This window comes from Homo sapiens, chromosome 12 (genome assembly GCF_000001405.40).
Source record: "Homo sapiens chromosome 12, GRCh38.p14 Primary Assembly".
NCBI classification, from domain to species: Eukaryota; Metazoa; Chordata; class Mammalia; order Primates; family Hominidae; genus Homo; species Homo sapiens.
The window spans coordinates 55,784,306-55,803,412 of NC_000012.12; the positions used below are offsets into that span (position 1 = coordinate 55,784,306).

General features: G+C 40.2%; 1 protein-coding gene across 3 annotated transcripts in view, besides 1 other annotated feature; it reads right to left on the bottom strand.

Moving 5' to 3' along the window:
- Positions 1 to 19,107, bottom strand: part of SARNP (SAP domain containing ribonucleoprotein) — a 65,262-nt gene that overhangs the window by 31,843 nt on the left and 14,312 nt on the right. For 2 of the 3 annotated variants that reach the window (NR_026723.2, NM_033082.4), the window contains exons 3-9: positions 16,549 to 16,595; positions 16,257 to 16,324; positions 11,720 to 11,771; positions 10,502 to 10,575; positions 10,054 to 10,082; positions 6,262 to 6,287; positions 4,770 to 4,838 (exon numbers count right to left, since the gene is read on the bottom strand). Coding sequence is in view for 1 of the 3 variants with exons in the window: in NM_033082.4 (NP_149073.1) it covers positions 4,770 to 4,838; positions 6,262 to 6,287; positions 10,054 to 10,082; positions 10,502 to 10,575; positions 11,720 to 11,771; positions 16,257 to 16,324; positions 16,549 to 16,595 (365 nt within the window). In the remaining 2 variants the exon portion in view is untranslated. The remainder of the gene's footprint in view (positions 1 to 4,769; positions 4,839 to 6,261; positions 6,288 to 10,053; positions 10,083 to 10,501; positions 10,576 to 11,719; positions 11,772 to 16,256; positions 16,325 to 16,548; positions 16,596 to 19,107) is intronic. The other variant, NR_026722.2, reaches the window with a different exon arrangement.
- Positions 13,914 to 14,415: an enhancer, noted in NCBI's record as "OCT4-NANOG hESC enhancer chr12:56192003-56192504 (GRCh37/hg19 assembly coordinates)". NCBI's record gives its function as "activates a minimal SCP1, AML or CMV promoter by ChIP-STARR-seq in naive and primed H9 embryonic stem cells {active_cell/tissue: H9 hESC(naive and primed)}" and the evidence as "EXISTENCE:reporter gene assay evidence [ECO:0000049][PMID:30033119]".

The window sequence follows — 19,107 nt, forward strand, 5'->3', positions numbered from 1 at the left end:
ATCTGGCAGTTCCGTAAACACAAACTTAACCAAGTCACTAACCTCTGCCAACCAACCAAACGCTACGTAGCAACTCATTCTAGTGATAAATAGTTAAGCACAAGAACTAGGCAATTCTCATCAGACAATGTACCCAGCTGCAATTCCAGGATGTGGAACTAGAACGCTAAGTTCTAGAAAAAAAGAATCCTTACTTTTCTTATGTCTTACTCCTTTTCCTCCAACTTCTCTCCTTTCATAGATTTATTCTGAAACTGCTTATATTTTCTACAATTATTTAAAAAAATTCTCAGCTACAGATTAACAATGGTCCAAGTATGTGGTCTGATAAATAATTTCTACGCCACTCACAAGTATGAAAGCTGTGTGGGAGATATAAGCTAGATATGAGTTGTCCGATATGGTAGCCACTAGCCACAAATGGCTTTGTAAAATAAGTTTTACTGGACAGTGCTGGTGTAGACAGCAAAACATCAGCATTTCTGGGACACTGTGATGGTTTATGGGACAAAACAGACCAAAATGTTTAAATTAGGATAGTTCTGAAAATCAAGACTTATAACCAATGTAAATGGGATCTATACTCACAGAGCACATCTCAAAAGGTCACAAATCTTCAAGTGAAGTAGTCCCTGGAAACCATACATATTCTAGTAAAGTGTTACTTAAAATATAGTCTTCCTCCTGGTGCTAGTCTCCAAACTGTTTCTTACCAGTGTGTAAAGGTCCAGAAATTGAAAATGTTAAGAAACTTTCAGAATAATTTAATGCTGTTGTAACATTTTAATTGTATTTTATAGAAGTATCCCTGTAATAATCAAAAAAATTTTTAAACTAGTTTTTTGCCACAGATAATTTCAGATGCACTACTCTAGCACATATGCAAATAAAAAAATATGCTATACGTATTGACAATCAATGTTATTAGAGAAGGAAGCTCACAGCCAGAGTTCTGCCAATTACCATTATTGTATTACAACCCTCCAGAGACTTAAAATGGGCGCTGAAATCTTATCAATGATCAACTAAAACTAAAATTGAGTCAAGTTAATTGACTCAGTTTTAAGGCCATAAAGCCAATTTACCAACAGAACTGAACTAAGAAAAAAGGAAGAAAACTAACATTTATTGAGGGTCAAAGTATCACTGTTAGGTAATTTCGAATACTGTATACAATTTTTTTTTTTTTAAGACAGAGTCTAGGCCATGTGCGGTGGCTCACGCCTGTAATCCCAGCACTTTGGGAGGCCAAAGTGAGTGATCACTTGAGGCCAAAGTTGAACAACATGAAGAAAATCCATCTCTACTAAAAATGCAAAATTAGCTGGGCATGGTGGCGCACTCCCATATTCTTAGCTACTCAGGAGGGTGAGGTGGGAAAAATCACTTGAACCCAGGAGGCAGAGGTTGTAATAAGCTGAGATCGCACCATTGCACTCCAGCCTGGGTGACAGAACAAAACCCTGTCTCAGACAAAAAAAAAAAAAAGACAGGGTCTCACTCTGTCACCCAGGCTGGAGTGCAGTGTCACTATCATGGCTCACTGCAGCCTCAAACTCCTGGGCTCAATTAGTCCTCCCACCTCAGCCTCCCAAAATAATGGGATTTCAGGCATGAGCCACTGCACCTGGCCCTGTATCCAATTATTTACTCTTCCCAACCAGGTTGCTAGTTATTGCTCTAAGTCTTACAGATGAGGATCAAAGAAGTTCAGTAATTTGCTCAAAGTCACAAAGTTAACATATGTATCTGTTTTACTCAGCCTTCTGTGGACTAAAAATGAAAAAAGGTCAAACAAAGAGAAAAAGTCTAGGGAAGGGAAGAGAAAGACCTGATATTCCTGTAATGAAATACTATAAAAATAACACAGGTATACAGTATAGCATTGATGGACAAATTCTTTTCAGCAATGTGTAGTAGGAGCTATGAGCTATGTAGTAAGAGATATGGTGTTCAATTTTGTAAATTCTGAAGGAACACAGACAATTCCTTAGAAGATGGAGTGAATTTTTACTGCTGGGGTTCTCACATATCTAGCCCTCATATAAAAGAGAAGACAGATGAGAACTAGGGCCGCAGAACCAAGGCACCCTTCCCCTTGGCCATATGGCACAACACAAGTGAGCTTTGGTTTGTTTGTTTGTTTGTTTGTTTGTTTGTTTGAGATGGAGTCTCACTCTGTTACCCAGGCTGGAGTACGGTGGCGCAATCTCGGCTCACCGCAGCCTCCGCCCTCCGAGTTCAAGCGATTCTCCTGCCTCAGCCTCCCAAGTAGCTGGGATTACAGGCACCTGCCACCGCGCCTGGCTAATTTTTTGTATTTTTAGAAGAGATGGGGTTTCACCATCTTGGCCAGGCTGGTCTTGAACTCCTGACCTCGTGATCCACCCGCCTCAGCCTCCCAAAGTGCTGGGATTACAGGAGTGAGCCACCGTGCCCAGTCGTGACCTTTGGTTTGTAACAGCCCTTCCCAATTAAAGTGCATGTGGCTTAAGAATCACATACTCTGCCTCTCAACTTCAAATTTTTTCTTACTTCACAAAAATGAGCAAGTATTCCCACTGAGCACCAATGGTCTCAGCATCATGCTAGGCACATGGACCTGATGCTGTATTTCTAGTTAATATAAAAAATGATAACCCAGGCCAGGCGCAGTGGCTCACACCTATAGTCCGGCACTTTGGGAGGCTGAGGCAGGAGGATGGCTTGAGGCCAGGAGTTTGAGACCAGCTGGGCAACACAGAGAGACCTCATCTCTAAAAAAAAAAATTCAAAAACTGGCCAGGCATGGTGGCACACATCTGTGGTCCCACCTACTCAGGAGGCTGAGGTGGGAGGCTTGCTTGAGCCTGGGAAATGGAGGCTGCAATGAGCTGTGATCATGCTACTGCTCTGCAGCCTGGGTGTCAGAGTGAGAACTTGTCTCAAAAAAGACTAAAAAAAAAAAAAAAAGTTAACGTAAATGGAAGAAAGATGGAACAAAGTTGTGCACAAGTGTTCCATAGTGGCACAATAATGATTACTTTTAGTGTTTAGTTTTTTTCCCAAGCAAAATATATAACCAATGTCAGGTAAGTTTCTTCCAATGGCTTTCTAGAGAGCTAAACGCTTTCATGCTGAGTTGGAAATACTGATGTTTTTCTTTTTTTGAGACAGAGTCTCACTCTGTTGCCCAGGCTGGAGTATAGTAGCACGATCTCGGCTCACTACAACCTCTGCCTTCCGGGTTCAAGTGATTCTCCCACCTCAGCCCCCCAAGTAGCTGGGATTACAGGCATGTACCACCATGCCCAGCTAATTTTTGTAGTTTTAGTAGAGACAGGGTTTCACCATGTTGGCTGGGCTGGTCTCAACTCCTGACCTCAGGTGATCTGCCCACCTCAGCCTCCCAAAGTGCTGGGATTACAGGCACGGTGGTGCTCGACTGATTTTTTTCTTTCTTTCTTTTTTTTTTTTTTCTTGAGACGGAGTCTCGCTCTGTCGCCCAGGCTGGAGTGCAGTGGTGCAATCTCAGCTCACTGCAAGCTCCCCCTCCCAGGTTCATGCCATTCTCCTGCCTCAGCCTCCTGAGTAGCTGAGACTACAGGCACCCGCCACCACACCCAGCTAATTTTTTTGTATTTTTAGTAGAGACGGGGTTTCACCGTGTTAGCCAGGATGGTCTCAATCTCCTGACCTCGTGATCCGCACATCTCCGCCTCCCAAAGTGCTGGGATTACAGGCGTGAGCCACCACGCCTGGCCCGATTTTTTTCTTAAATGCTGGTTTTTCTGGTTTCAAATACCCTGCCACCACTTTGACAACCAAGAAACATGTTCTTGTTCTAAACAACAAAGATTAAGAGACCACCTGCTCTAGGCAAATAGAAAAATCCTTATCATTTTCTCCAATGTGCCTAGCAAAACTACAAAGGCAACTATGCCCTGGGGAACCAATCACCCCACATAGCATGAAGTAAACAAAGTCATCTTGCTTAATAAACTAAATAATATCAGTTAGCTGAGGGGCATAAAGAATGAATTAACTTTTTTTTTTTGTTCCACCAATCCTCCAAGTTTTATTTCTAAGTACTTCTGACCTAAAGACAAGACTGTCTTCTCCTGATTATTTAATTCCCATTATGCCTATTATCAAAGTTAAAGTAGATGTAATAAGTTTTAACATCACTGAATTTAACATCTTAACCAACAGAAATATAGACCATACTCAGGCTGGGTGCAGTGGCTCACGCCTGTAATCCCAGCACTCTGGGAGGCAGAAGTGGGTGGATCCCTTAGGCCCAGGAGTTTGAGACCAGCTTGGGTAACATAGCAAAATCCCGTCTCTACCAAAAATTGAAAAAAATTAGCTGGGCATGGTGGCACGTGCCTGTAGTTTTAGCTACGAGAAAGGCTGAGGTGGGAGGATCACCTGAGCCCAGGGAGGTCAAGCCTGCAGTGAGCCGTGATCGCACCACTGCACTCCAGCCTGGGCAACAGAATGACCTTGTCTCAAAGGAAAAAAAAGAAAGAAAGAAAAGAAATGTAGACCACGCTCTAGCAGCCTGGGTGAAAGCTATGAAAACAATCCACGGGAAAAAACAATCAGCTTGTGAAATAATTCCTGTAACATAATCAAGAGTCAGTGAGAGGAGGTGACAGTCAATCAAGTATGTGAAATGAAATGCTTTGTAGCCAGCTACATTCTCAGGAGGGTCATTTCCAGCCTATGTAGTTCCCATAAGCTGCTCTAATGTCACAAAAACATTACTTCCATCGAGCCTACATTACCTTTCTGGAGATTGAAGAGACATTCAAACCAAATCTTTGAGCTCTTTCCTTCAGCTTATCCAAGTTAACCTATAAAAACATAGGGGAAAGAACATAGTTTTAAAAAATCAAAACGGAAAACAAAAAATGCAGAAACTATAGTATGAAGCTAAGAGTTCAAATAAGCCTATAACATCAAAGACACCCTATGAGCAAAATAAGAAAACTAAGCAGCAACCATCCAGTCCACTGATTATGGCCTCCTCTGGAATGCAGTGAAAGATTCAGCCCTGCCTCCTGCATTTATCACAGGTGTCAAGAGCCTAAGGAGGGCTTAAGATCAAGGGAAGCCAAACACTGCCAGGGAAAGCAAACACATGTCTAAATCATCACCTCCAAACAAGTCTACCATTCACAATCCAAAATCATTAATTCTCATGTGGTCTCTGCAAGTATTTCTTAACTCTATCTCCAAACAAAGAGAAACTATCACGGAAGCACCTTTTTCAGAAGACAACCTATAACTACTACCCAACTCGATTCTCTTCCCTCCTCTTTCTTGGAAACCTTGGTACATGGACTTGCTACTATTGTTAAGAATTATTTAGGGCCAGGCGCGGTGGCTCACGCCTGTAATCCTAGAAGTTTGGGAGGCCGAGGCAGGTGGATCACCTGAGGTCAGGAGTTCAAGACCAGCCTGGCCAACATGGTGAAACCCCGTCTCTACTAAAAATACAAAAATTAGCCGGGCATGGTGGCGGGCACCTGTAATCCCAGCTACTTGGGAGGCTGAGGCAGGAGAATTCCTTGAACCCGGGAGGCGGAGGTTGCAGTAAGCTGAGATCGCACCACTGCACTCCAGCCTGGGCAAAAGAATGAAACTCCGTCTCAAAAAAAAAAAAAAAAAAAAGAATATTTAGGAAATTTTCATTAATAATATTAAACCTTCACTTACAATATTAAACAGCAACCCCTAAAGCAGGATTTCATAAAGCTGATTCTATTTCACCACAGCATTCGTTACCATTTTTTAAATATGCTGACTAGTCACAATGGTCCAGAAAGCCATTTTATTCTACCATTCTTTACTCTGATTTCACATTTCACGGATAGTATTTTAAAAAAAAAAAAAAAAGCACTATCTACAAACAGAACTCCTAAATTGCTTCCATAGATTCTCTTGTGGTAATTATGAATTAGACATTATCTAAGGCCACTGGACAAGGCCTCCAGTACCATAAAACAGTTACATACATGGCTAACAAAATCCATTCTTACTTTCAAAAAGAGTGGTAGGAAGGAAGACGTCTGCAGTAATTGAACATGTGACAATTTTCCTGACCTCTCAGTATCTCCAACAATTTTTTAAATTCAAGACATACAACATTGTACTGAAAAGAGTCAACAAATTAATGTTCTCAGAGTTTCCTCTAATCTGGGGAGGAGGAGTCTCTAAAGTTAGCTATATAGAATTAAGATCTGGGTGTGTAAGAAATAAAAAAAGATTTCTTACCATAGGTTTGTTATCAGATGACAGACCTAAGGAAGTAAATAAAGTTTTATTTAATATTTTTAAAAGTCATCAAAGCCAACAGTCTTCAAGTCAAATTAGGCAACATAAAAACATCCTTTATCCTATGATGACAAAGAAAAGGCAGAAATTGCATGTAGCGATCATGTCTGCATTCACTGCTAGCAGGAACATAAAATGGTATAGCTGCTTTGGAAAACAATTTGGCAGTTCCTCAAAAGATAAATACAGTTACATATGATCCCACAATTCCACTGCTAGCTATACAGCTAAGAGAAAATGAAAACATATAATTACACAAAAATTTGTACATAAATGTTCACAGCAGCATTATTCATATTAGACAAAAAGTTAAAGAAAAACACCCATCAACTGATGACTGGCTAAATTAAGTATGGTATATCCATACAATGGAATATTATTAAACAATAAAAATGAATAGAGATACATGCTACAACATTAATGAACCTTGAAAACTATGCTAAGTGAAAGAATCCAGTCACAAAAGACAATACACTATACGCACTATACGAATTCATTTATATGAAGGCAAATTTCCATGGAGAAAAAAACCTCAGTGGCTGCTTAGGGCTGGGCAGGGAGAGGTAATGGAGGATATCTACTAATGGGCACAGACTTTCTTTTTGGGGTGATAAGCACGGTGATGATGGCTGCACAACTCTGTGAATATACTATGAAATAATGAATTATATATCTTTAAATGGATGAACTGTATGTTATATAAATTGCATCTCAGTAAAGCTATTAAAAAAGAGATCACATCTGGACAAACAAGAACTACTATCATGAGTTGAAATTATGGCTCCTGGCCGGGTGCAGTGGCTTACGCCTGTAATCCCAGCACTTTTGGAGGCCAAGGCGGGTGGATCACCTGAGGTCAGGACTTGTAGACCAGCCTGACCAATATGGTGAAATCCCATCTCTACTACAAATACAAAAATCAGCCAGGCGTGGTGGCGTACACCTGTAGTCCCAGCTACTCGGGAGGCTGAGACAGGAGAATTGCTTGAACCCAGAAGGCAGAGGCTGCAGTGAGCTGAGATGGCGCCACTGTGCTCCAGCCTGGGCGACAGAGCAAGACTCCATCTCAAAAAAGAAAAAAAGAAAAAAAGAGAAAAAAAGAAATTATGGCTCCTTAAGGCCAATTTTCTGTCCTGAAATTATCACCAAGAAACTAGCCAATAATTATTTACTTCAAACTTTTCAGGATTTCATTCAAAAAAACAGTGCTTGCTTTTAAATGTTCCCAAATTCCGTTATTTTTTAGAGTTACTCTATAGTTCTAAGATGTCAGAATTATGAGTAACACTGAAACTGTATTTTTTATCAGGTTCCCTTTTCAGACTATTAATTTTAACTATTATCTTTCTTCAAATAGCATTTTAGCCTTGCACCTGTAGTCCCAGTTACTCAGGAGGCTGAGGGAGGATTGCTTGAGCCCAGGAGCTCAAGTCCAGCCTGGGCAATATAGTGAAACCCTGTCTCTTAAAAAAAATAAAAAAGCACCACGTTCTATAATTTCTGTTGTATCTTCACCAATTATATCTCTCTTGATGCAACTAAGAGCCAGAAAAAAAATTTTTTTTTTCTAAAACACTTAGTGATAGCGGCCAGAATTTTTCTGTCTTTTTAAAAGCACAGCAAAACACTACAAGAAGATCTCTGGGGGACATTTTCTTACTTAAAACTACTGACGAGTCACAGGGAAAACTGGATTGAATTGGAAGACTACATTTAAGTTTTAAGTTCCTGAGAAAAGGGGCTATGTTCTTTTTGTTTTTTTGAGAAAAGAGTCTCATTCTGTCCCCCAGGCTGGAGTACAGTGGAGCAATCTCTGCTCACTGCAAGCTCCGCTTCCCACGTTCAAGCACTTCTCCTGCCTCAGCCTCCCAAATAGCTGGAATTACAGGCGCGCAACACCACACCCAGCTTTTTTTTTTTTTTTTTTTTTGTATTTTTAGTAGAGAAGGGTTTCGCCATGTTGGCCAGGCTGGTCTCAAACTCCTGACCTTAAGCAATCCACCTGCCTTGGCCTCCCAAAGTGCTGGGACTACAGGTGTGAACCACCGTGCCCAGCCTGTCCTTTTTTTAAATTCTGAGACAGGATCTTGCTCTGTCACCCAGGCTAGAGTGTCATGGCAAGATCACACTCACTGCCAGCCTTGACCTCCCAGGCTTAAGAGATACTCCCACCCCAGCGCCCCAAGTAGCTGGGACTACAAACACCTGCCACCATGTCTAGTTAATTTTTTAATTTTTTGTAGAAACAAGGTGTCACTTTGTTTCCCAAGCTAGTTTCCAACTCCTGGGTTCAACTGATCCTCCCGGCTTGGCATCCCAAAGTGCTGGGATTACAGGCATGAGCCACCATACCCAGCCGTTTCTTAAAAATAATAACTGTTTCAGGCTCGGCACACCTGTAATCCCACCATTTTGGGAGGCAGAGGTGAGTGGATCACTTGAGGTTAGGAGTTCAAGACCAGCCTGGCCAACACAGTGAAACCTGTCTCTACTAATAATACAAAAATTAGCTGGGTATGGTGTCACGCACCTGTGGTCCCAGCTACTCAGGAGGCTGAGGCAGGAAAATAGCTTGAACCTGGGAGGCAGAGGTTGCAGTGAACCAGATCACGTCCCTGCACTCCAGCATGGGTGACAGAGCAAGACTGTGTCTCAAAAAATAGTAATAATTTCCTCTAATTCATTACAAAAGTGATACATATTCATTGTATGGATTTTAATAACACAGACAAGCAAAAAGAAATAAATCATTCAAAATTCCACCAACCAGAGATAAGAGTATTAACAATTTAGAATACAGTCGTCCCTCCATTTCCTCAGGGGATTGGATCCAAACCCACCCCTCCAGCTGATACCAAAATCCACCACACTCAAGTCCTGCAGCAGATATAAGCTGCTCCTCCATATCTGCAGGTTTCACATCCCAAGAATACTGTATTTCTGAACCGCATTTGGTTATGGTGAACCCTCAGATACAGACAGCAAACTGTATTTATTGAAAAAAAAAAAAATCCAAGTATAAGTGGACCTGTGCAGTTCAAACCTTGCTGAAGTGTCTACTATGTATCCTTCCAAGCTTTTTTCCTATCTATACATGCACTCTTACATGACTAAAATGGGAACGTACTGTTAATATAATTTTGTAACTTTTTTCATTAATATCTCTGATAAATATCTTTCAATATTATTTCAGCACAGTAGTCTGCTATACCATGGCACACATTTAATAACTAATTCTCTGTTGTACAGTTGGTTGTTTCCAGTTATTGATCACTATAAATAATGCTGTGATAATCCCTGAGGCTAAGTCTTTATGCACATTCAAGACTATTTCCTTATACGTTCCTAGAAGTAAAACTGTTAAGGTAGAAGATATTCTTTTCCCTTTTATCACTTATAATAGCCAGTATAACACTAGATAGTATGCAATAATTTTATGCAGTTGAGACCCCAGAATAAGTAAGCAAAGTACTAGAGAAACTTCTTTGAAGATGTTCAAGAAAAGACAGACAAATGTTGGCACTTCCTATCCTCTCATAACATTCAGTATCTCTCTTAATTGCCCAGGAAGGCCTAAGTATAATTTTACCTAAAGCAGGAGATGAATGTTACAATCTCTTAAAGAGTTTCTACAGCTAGCAAATTTACCTTATTTTGGAGAAATAAAACCTGTTATACCAGAAAAGAAAGAATAAAAAGGTAACTTTCTCAGAAGTATCTCTGTACTCTTACCTTTTGTTGGAACTGAAGAAATCCCAAACCTGAAGAAGGAAAAACAAACTAAATTTTAGGAAGCTGTTCACACTCCTGGTTTGTCTGTCTCCGTGTCAAGTATACATATGACACTTCTTGCTTGTGATCTCAAGCCTTGCAATCATTAGCTAATTCTAACAACCCCATGAAAGAGGTTCAGAAATTAAGCTAAAAGGAAGCCTTATCAGAATTAGTAGTAGTCAGTTCCTGGCTTTAACTGTTACAAAAACCCTTCTCAATAAAGCTCAATTTATAGCTACTATAACCAAATCAGTAGACATGTTCTGAATAGGGTCAAAAAAGTGTTCATATCCTTCAGCAAGCCTCTATTCTACTTAAAATCAACAATTATACCTAAAAGCTAGGATCACACATCTTCATCTTTACAACACCCCTATCAGAGGCCCAAAAGGCTGGGGACACTCACCTAGCTGCCCGAGCAGCTTTCTTACTCTCCAAGCTCACAGGTACATTGAATCGTTCAGCCCTCTTCTGCATTCTCTAAGTAAAAATAGACAAAAGGGAGAAAAAAAAGTCAATTTATGGTTTAAGAAAGTCAGTCAGAGGTAGGTATCTTTAAAAAAAAAAAAAAAAAAAAAAAAAAGAGTCTCACTCTGTCCCCCAGCCTGGAGTGCAGTGGCATGATCTCGGCTCACTGCAACCTCAGCCTCCTGGGTTCGAGCGATTCTCGTGGCTCAGCCTCCTGAGTAGCTGGGATTACAGGACTGTGCCACTGTGCCCAGCTAATTTTTGTGCTTTTAGTAGAAATGAGATTTCACCATGATGGCCAGGCTGATATTGAACTCCTGGCCTCAAGTGAACTGCCCACCTCAGCCTCCTAAACTGCTGGGATTACAAGCGTGAGCCACCTGGCCCAGCCAAAGGTAGGTATCTTAAAAACATCAGAAGTAATTTCTTAGGGTCTAAACTGAAAATACTGACAATCCTAGAAGATATCAGGTTGTGTCCATGCTAGGACTTAACGGCCCTTCCCACAAAGCAAACAAAAAAAGACTATTACTAGATGCCCTCAAAAACAAAAGGGAGAAATAAAGTAAAACCTACATTATGCATGAAGCCAAGAAGTCAAAAGCTATGTTTGGCTGACCTTTGAAAAGTGATCAAAGGAATAGCTTGGTTCCAACACCAATGGTATTCTTTCAGTTAGAAATGAGGCAGCATTGTTTTATGCCATTCTAAAAGAGTTTAATAATTCTCTACTTTGCAAGTATGATACTGAACACAAGATCTCAAATGGAACCTGGTTTCACAGTCCTGCACCACAGAAACCAGAGAAATTTCAATCTCAGCTACTGGCCAGTAGCAACATAAGAGTCACATCTACCAATACATTTTCAAGGTACAATCCTCCTAAATCTAATCCTAGGTTTGAAAACATCTCAAAGAGAGTCACTGTTAAGACCATAATATTACATATAAAAAGACTACAACTTCAAGAATGACTACCCCTACGCCAGCCAAATATTTTCCAAAGAGTAGCTGGCAGTGAAACGTATCAACACCAAAATCTGCCAATACTGATTTTCTGCCTGTGAATAAATTTTAGAGGATGATGCAGATATAATAAAGGGTAAGAGGGAGAGAGAAATGTAGAGACTGTTCTACTAGGGAGCAGAATACCTACCTCAGTCTGTGGTATTTCAGATGTAATTTTCACCACTTTCTTCTCTGCTGCCCTAGAAAAGAAAGAGATTTTTTAAAATGAGAAAACTGATATTCTAAACCACAACCTCAGAAATGTGTAAGAATTCACCTGAGTCACCATTCTCTGCCCTATTATCTCTCTGCCACCCCCTAAGCCAAAGAAACATGAAGTCCACTAGAGCTTTGGTTCCTTTAACTGTCATCTATTGAGAGGAAAGAGTTCAAATAACAAACTAAGCTTCTTTAGCTAAAGTATAATAAAGAAATAAGGAAAGAAGTCTGGTTAAATATACTGGGCTGAAGGGAAACACTCAAAGGACACCAGAAACCATCTCATTTGCTTTTAGGAACTTTTCAATTTACTTTTATTTTTCTGAGACGGAGTTTTGCTCTTGTCGCCCAGGCTGGAGTGCAATGGCACGATCTCAGCTCACTGCAACCTCCACCTCCTGGGTTCAAGAGATTCTCCTGCCTCAACCTCCTGAGTAGCTGGAATTACAGGCACCTGCCACCACGCCGAGCTAATTTTTGTATTTTTAGTAGAGATAGGGTTTCACCATGTTGGCCAGGCTAGTCACGAACTCCTGGCCTCAAGTGATCCACCCACCTCGGCCTCCCAAAGTACTGGGATTACAGGCATCAGCCACCGAGCCCAGCCTTTAATTTACTTTTGAACTAATGAGTAACCCTCCAATCCTCCTTTAAGTACCACCTCCCAATGTTCATCACAACAATTAATAAGTACTCTACAAGGTCTGGTTTCCTTCTTTTAAAAATCCCTTATTTCTCCCATGGGGAATGTAGCTCTAGCTGGAACAGTCAAAGTGAAACAAATAAAAATGCCAAAGAAGGTAGGAAGAAAAAAGTCTAAGGGGAGTTTGAATTAGGAAAACATGGTAAGCTAGTGGTCAAAGGTTTAAGAGGAAACAAAAGAGGGGGGACCACAGGGGCGGGAGACAAAGTTCGGAAGTACCCACGATAAATGGAAGGGCATTAACCCTCCACCAAACAACTCCCATAAAACTGTGGGTCATAACCAGTCTCATTAAGGTCCCTCATTTAGAGACATGGGCAGCTTTTGTTCCAATATCCTGAACACTTTTCCCATTTGATGCCCTGAAAGGTAGTAATGGTTTAATGACATTTTCAGAGGAAGCAATTCTGGAATAAGAACTTACTCTCTTCCACCCTTTTATTGGAAATCCCTGGACTGAAGACAAGCAATGGGTGCCCCCTGCTGACTATAACGAAGTCCTACGATATGTAACCGCTTTAGCTGGTTGGGGGTTGGGAATCAAACTAGAAACAGGTATATTTTTGGAGAACTTCAGGCCAAACATGAAGAAGGGGATCTCCTTTTAAATAGTCAAGGAATCTAAACTAGCCCTGGCTATTCTGACGTTTAAAGAAATTTCTAAACGCTTCCCATTTCCTTGCCATCCTTCCCTAACCTTGTCTTATAATTTAGGCACAAAAGGCTAAAGTTTAATGTTTTACTTGAAATCCAATGCCATCAAGAAAGTAGTACTCTCCATCAACCCCAGTGTAATGACTTCCTCCCCATTACCATTCTGAAGCACAGTCAATGCAGTGCACATCATGGCAGAAAGGGAACCCCAGACGGGAAGTTTCCTTCCATTCTATTACAATTCCCTTAGGCAACTAAACTCAAGCGCAATAAATAAACATCGAATTCTGGGATGCATGGGAAATTTCCACTCTTCACTGAGAAATTTCTCTCCTACCCAATCACATAAACAACATTCCCTGAAATACAGAGACCCAGAATCTTTTTGTACATACTTCAGTCTAACCACAACTATCCTCTAAAAATCAAAAACGATCACCCCACCCACTTCAATTTCCTTGTTTCAAAATTCATTAATAGAATTAAAGCCCCCTGAACAGAATGCACATTTTAAATATTCTATGAATAATGAACTTCAAACTTTCGAACCTCTATTTTTTAACCCACAGAAGCCAATTATCATGGTATTCACTTGATCTTCTTTCTTGTTCCAGAAATCCCCATAACATTTCTATTTTAAAGCTATCTCACAAAGTCATTTTTTCAAGGCACTATATCTAATTATAAACATCTTATGATGGAAAGATAACTAAATGGCTTTAGAAAGTAGTATTTGATAGGCTGGAAAGTAGTATTTGATAGGCAGGTGATTACTGGCTCACACCTGTAATCCCAGCACTTTGGGAGGCCAAGGCAGGTGGATCGCTTTGAGCTCAAGAGTTTGAGACCAGCCTGGCAAACACGGCGAAACCCCATCTCTACAAAAAATACAAAAAAAGAGCTGGGTGTAGTGGCTCGTGCCTGTAGTTCCAGCTACTCAGGAGGCTGAAGCTGGAGGACTGCTTGAGCCGGGAAACGGAGGTTGCAGTGAGCCAAGATTGTGCCACTGCACTCCAGCCTGGACAACGGAGTGAGTCCCTGTCTCAAAAATAAATAAATAAAGGGATATTTGACAAAAATCTATCAAGATGTTAAATGTACATCCTCTGTGATGCAGCAAATCCACTGCTAGGAATTTACCCTGTGGGTATACTTGTGAGTATAAATAATTAGAAAAGGACATGCAGAACTACATTTTTTTTTAATGAATAATCTAAATGTCCATCAACAGAAGACTGGTGAAATAAATTACTGTTTATCCATAGAATGCAATACTATTAAATGCTAGAAAGAACAAGGTTCTAAGTTGATAACTAGTAAATCTGGGTGATAGGTAGATGAGAGTCTATTACACTAGTCGAACTTTTGTATATACTTGTAATTTCCCATAATAAGCTAAACAAAAAGAGACCACTTCCTAGGATAATTATCCTGACTTTACAGGGTCTACTGAGGATAAAATGACAGTACATGTAAAACATTCAGAACAATGCCTAGCATATAACTCTTAAGAACAATGCCTAGCATATAACTAACACTTACATAAGAAAATGATGATATAAAAAATTTCCAGATGTGAAAAAAAATCAAGTGTGCACAGTGTGTGTATACGTGTATCTATATATACACATACATACATATACACATGTACAGACCCCATATATAAAATCTTCCAAAAGTATGTACTGTTCTAAAAACCTCAGTAAAGTCAGATCTGAGAATGGATACAAAGAGTACTTAATTCTTAATTGATATACTCCACTATGTACTGACTTTTTACTTGTAAATACACTGCCTTTTATAATTAAATGCACTAACACAACTATGAGGAACAAAAATGTTCAAAGTTTAGGACTCAACGGCTCTTAATGTACTATAGTACAAAATGGCCAGACATTTGTGGAAAAAGCCCCAAATTAAAGATGTTTAGGATCACCCTTGTGGAACAGTTTAAACAAATCAAGATCTACTTTCCATTCTAGCACTTTGTCCTCCCATCCTCCACTGTAAATCAGAAAGCAAGAGAGAACAGAGTGCTACTTCAGAAACATAACCTCTACCCAACACCCTCCTCCCTTACAAAACTCCTTTATATAGAGTGTCACACTTTTTTTTTTTTTTTTCCCGAGACAGCTGTGGCTCCCAGGCTGGAGTGCAGTGCCACAGTCTCGGCTCACTGCAACCTCCACCTCCCAGGTTCAAGCAATTCTCCTGCCTCAGCCTCCCAAGTAGCTGGAATTACAGGTGCCCTCCACCACGCCCAACTAATTTTTGTATTTTTAGAAGAGACAGGGTTTCACCATCTTGGCCAGGCTGGTCTTGAACTCCTGACCTCGTAATCCACCCACCTCGGCCTCCCAAAGTGCTGGGATTACAAGTGTGTGCCACCGTGCCTGGCCTCAGTTTTACACTTTTCCAGAAAAGTGCAAAACTCTTATGAACAGTTAACAGAATGGGCCGGGCACGGTGGCTCACACCTGTAATCCCAGCACTTTGGGACGCCAAGGCAGACGGATCATTTGAGGTCAGGAGTTCAAAACCAGCCTGGCCAACATGGTAAAACCCTGTCTCTACTAAAAATACAAAAATCAGTCGGGCAGTAGTGGCACACACCTATAATCCCAGCTACTCGGGAGGCTGAGGCAGGAGAATTGCTTGAGCCTGGGAAGCAGAAGTTACGGTGAGCCAAGATCACGCCACTGCACTCCAGTCTGGGCAACAGAGTGAGATCCTGTCTCAAAAAAAAAAAAGTTAACAGAGTTTACACAGTTTTACACTGCATACAGAATTGTACAGATTCTCTATAGAGTAACAGAATAATCTATTATGGTGACCCTACAAAAGAACAACAAAGGCTAGGAGAATTAAACTATGTCTGGTCTTGAAGTCACCTGGTCCTCATTACCTATTACATAACTCAGAGACAATTTGCTTTACTTCACTGGGACCAAGTACTTTGAAGTAGTCCCTTCTAAAAAACAAAAAAATGACCTAATCAGAAAGGAAAAGGCCAATGGGAACATGTAAGAGGTAAACAAAGTTAAACATTAAATACATTAAGAAAAGAGCTGCCTGCTCTGTACTCAGATTATAAAAAAGGGATAATTACACATCAACAGTTTTTTCAGGGGGTTCTTCCTCTTTGACAGGGAGCTCAATGGGCTTTGTTTCTTCTTCCTAAAACCAAATGAAACAAGGTGGTTAACATAAATCTAAAGAATAAATATCTATCAAAAGAAGAACATCAGAACTCCAAAATAAACCAGTCTCTCAGAACCTTCATACCCATCTTATGCTCCCCTAATAAATTTACATCTAAGTCCTCCAATGACTGATGTTAAAGCAATGTGGCCAAAGCAGTGGCACATTACCAGAGACTAACCTTACTCTATCCAACTCACCTCTGTTTCATCTCCCAGTACATCTTCTTCATTTGCCTCCTCTTCAGCTAAAGAATATTAAAATATTCAGGTCAAGCCCTGCTACAAAACCATCTTGATCACTTACCAAGGTTAAAATTATAATCACTTTGCTTTCCCCCAAAAAATCCAACAGTGAAGGCAGAAACTGATGCACATAAAATCTGCTACATCTGGAGAAGATAAAACCAGATTTCTACCTAACATTAATTACAAATGTGAACTCCAGTTGGACTGAAGAACTAAATGTGAAGTCAAACTAGAGAATTAATTTTAAAAGTAATGTTGGGCCAGGCACCGTGGCTCTCTGTAATCCCAGCAATCTGGGAGGCAGAGGCAGGTGGATCGTTTGAACCTAGGAGTTCAAGCGACCAGCTTGGGGAACACAGCGAAACCCCGTCTTTACAAAAAACATAAAAAAATTAGCTGGGTGTGGGGGTGTGCGCCTATAGTCTTAGCTACTGGGGAGGCTGAAGTGGGAACATTACTTGAACCCAGAAGGCAGAGGCTGCAGTGAGCTGAGATCATGTCACTGCACTCCAGCCTGGGTGACAGAGCAAGACCCAGTCTTGAATAACAAACAAAAAAAGTATGTGGAAAAGTATCTTTGAGATTTAGTGGTGGGGAAAGATTTGTTTAAAAGAAAAACAACCCAGAACCAAAAGTAAGAGGTGAAAAATTGAAGATTTTTCAAAACTAAGTACTTCTACTTAAGGATAGCACAAAGAAACTTAAAAGACAAATGACAAGACATTTGTTTTTGTTGAGACAGAGTCTTACTCTGTCGCCCAGATAAAGTGCAATGGCACAATCACAGCTCCCTGCAGCCTCCCCCTCCTGGGCTCAAGGGATCCTCCTGCCTTAGCCTCCCAAGTAGGTAGGACTACAGGTGCACATCACCACACCCAGCTAATTTTATTATTTTTCTTAGAGATGGGATCTCACTATGCTGCCCAGACTGGTCTCAAACTCCGGGCCTCAAGAGATCATACCACCTTAGCCTCCCAAAGTGCTGAGTTACAGGCATGAACCACCCCGCACAGCCAAAGAAGATATTTGTGCCTAAAATCAACAAAACAATAGTTATTAGAATATAAAAGAAATGCCTGCAAGCCAACAGGCAAATTATGGGAACCTCAACAGAAAAATGGGCAAAGAAGAAACCCAAAGAATTGTGAAATGTTTAAACTTTTTTCATGGAGAACATAAAACAGCCAACAAATTAGCAAAACTTAGGCCACTTGATAGGACAGTGCCAAGTTTAGGTTTGTGAAGATACAAGAACCCTTATGTACTAGTAATGAGACTGCAGATCTACAGAGCAATTCTGGAAAATAATTTGGGAGTCCTTAGTCACATTAAGTATATATTTATGAATATTAATTAGCAATACCATTCTTGGGCATATACCCCAAAAAGACTTTCACAGGAACATAAGAGCATAAAATAAGTAGTTCATAATAATATACTATATACTATTAGTATATAGGATATAGTATACTATATCCTACAGGTTAAGCATCACCAATCTGAAAATTCAAAACCTAAAATGCTCCTAAATCTAAAACTTTCTGAAGGCTGATATGATACAAGTGGAAAACCCCACACCTAACCTCATGCAATGGGTCACAGTCAAAACTTTGTTTCATGTACAAAATTATTTTAAATACTGTATAAAACTACTTTCAGATATGTGGATAAGAAACAAATAAATTTTGTGTTTAGGCTTGGATCTCACCCCCAAGATATCTCATTATATATATACACAAATATTCCAAAATCCGAAAAAACTAAAATCTGAAACACTTCTAGTCCCAAGCATTTCAAATATATAACACTCAACCCATAGTATAATATATACTATATACTATTATATACATATAGTATACTATAAGTAGTATCACTTATAGTAGCAGAGGCTTGGTGGCAATAAAATTTTCTGTCACCGAGTGAATTAAGTAAAATGTGTGGTTATCCATCATTGAATGCTATGCAGGAATTAGAATCAACAGACTAGATAACTACACAGTCACATTCCACATGGACGCATCTTTAAAAAAAAAAAAACACAATACTTAGTGAAAAAAATGAGAAATAAAGCAAGGCTATGGCCAGTTATGTAATTACCAATTATATAAATGAAAACATTCTACAAAACAACACTACATAGTTTACCAGGAAAAACACCAAAAAAATACATTCAAACACATTAGAACGGGTGCCTAAATGGGTTGGGGAGAAAGTGAAATGAGGAATAGAAATAAAAGGGAATACGTAAATAAAAATTAGATAGAGGACTTGTACAACCTAAGATGTAGGTTGTACAAGATGGCTGGGCGCGGTGGCTCACAACTGTAATCCCAGCACTTTGGGAGGCTGAGGCGGGTGGCTCACCTGAGGTCAGGAATTCTAGACCAGCCCAACCAATATGGTGAAACCCCGTCTCTACTAAAAATACAAAAATCAGCCAGGCATGGTGGTGCTCGCCTGTAGTCCCAGCTGCTTGGGAGGCTGAGACAGGAGAATTGGTTGAAGCCGGGA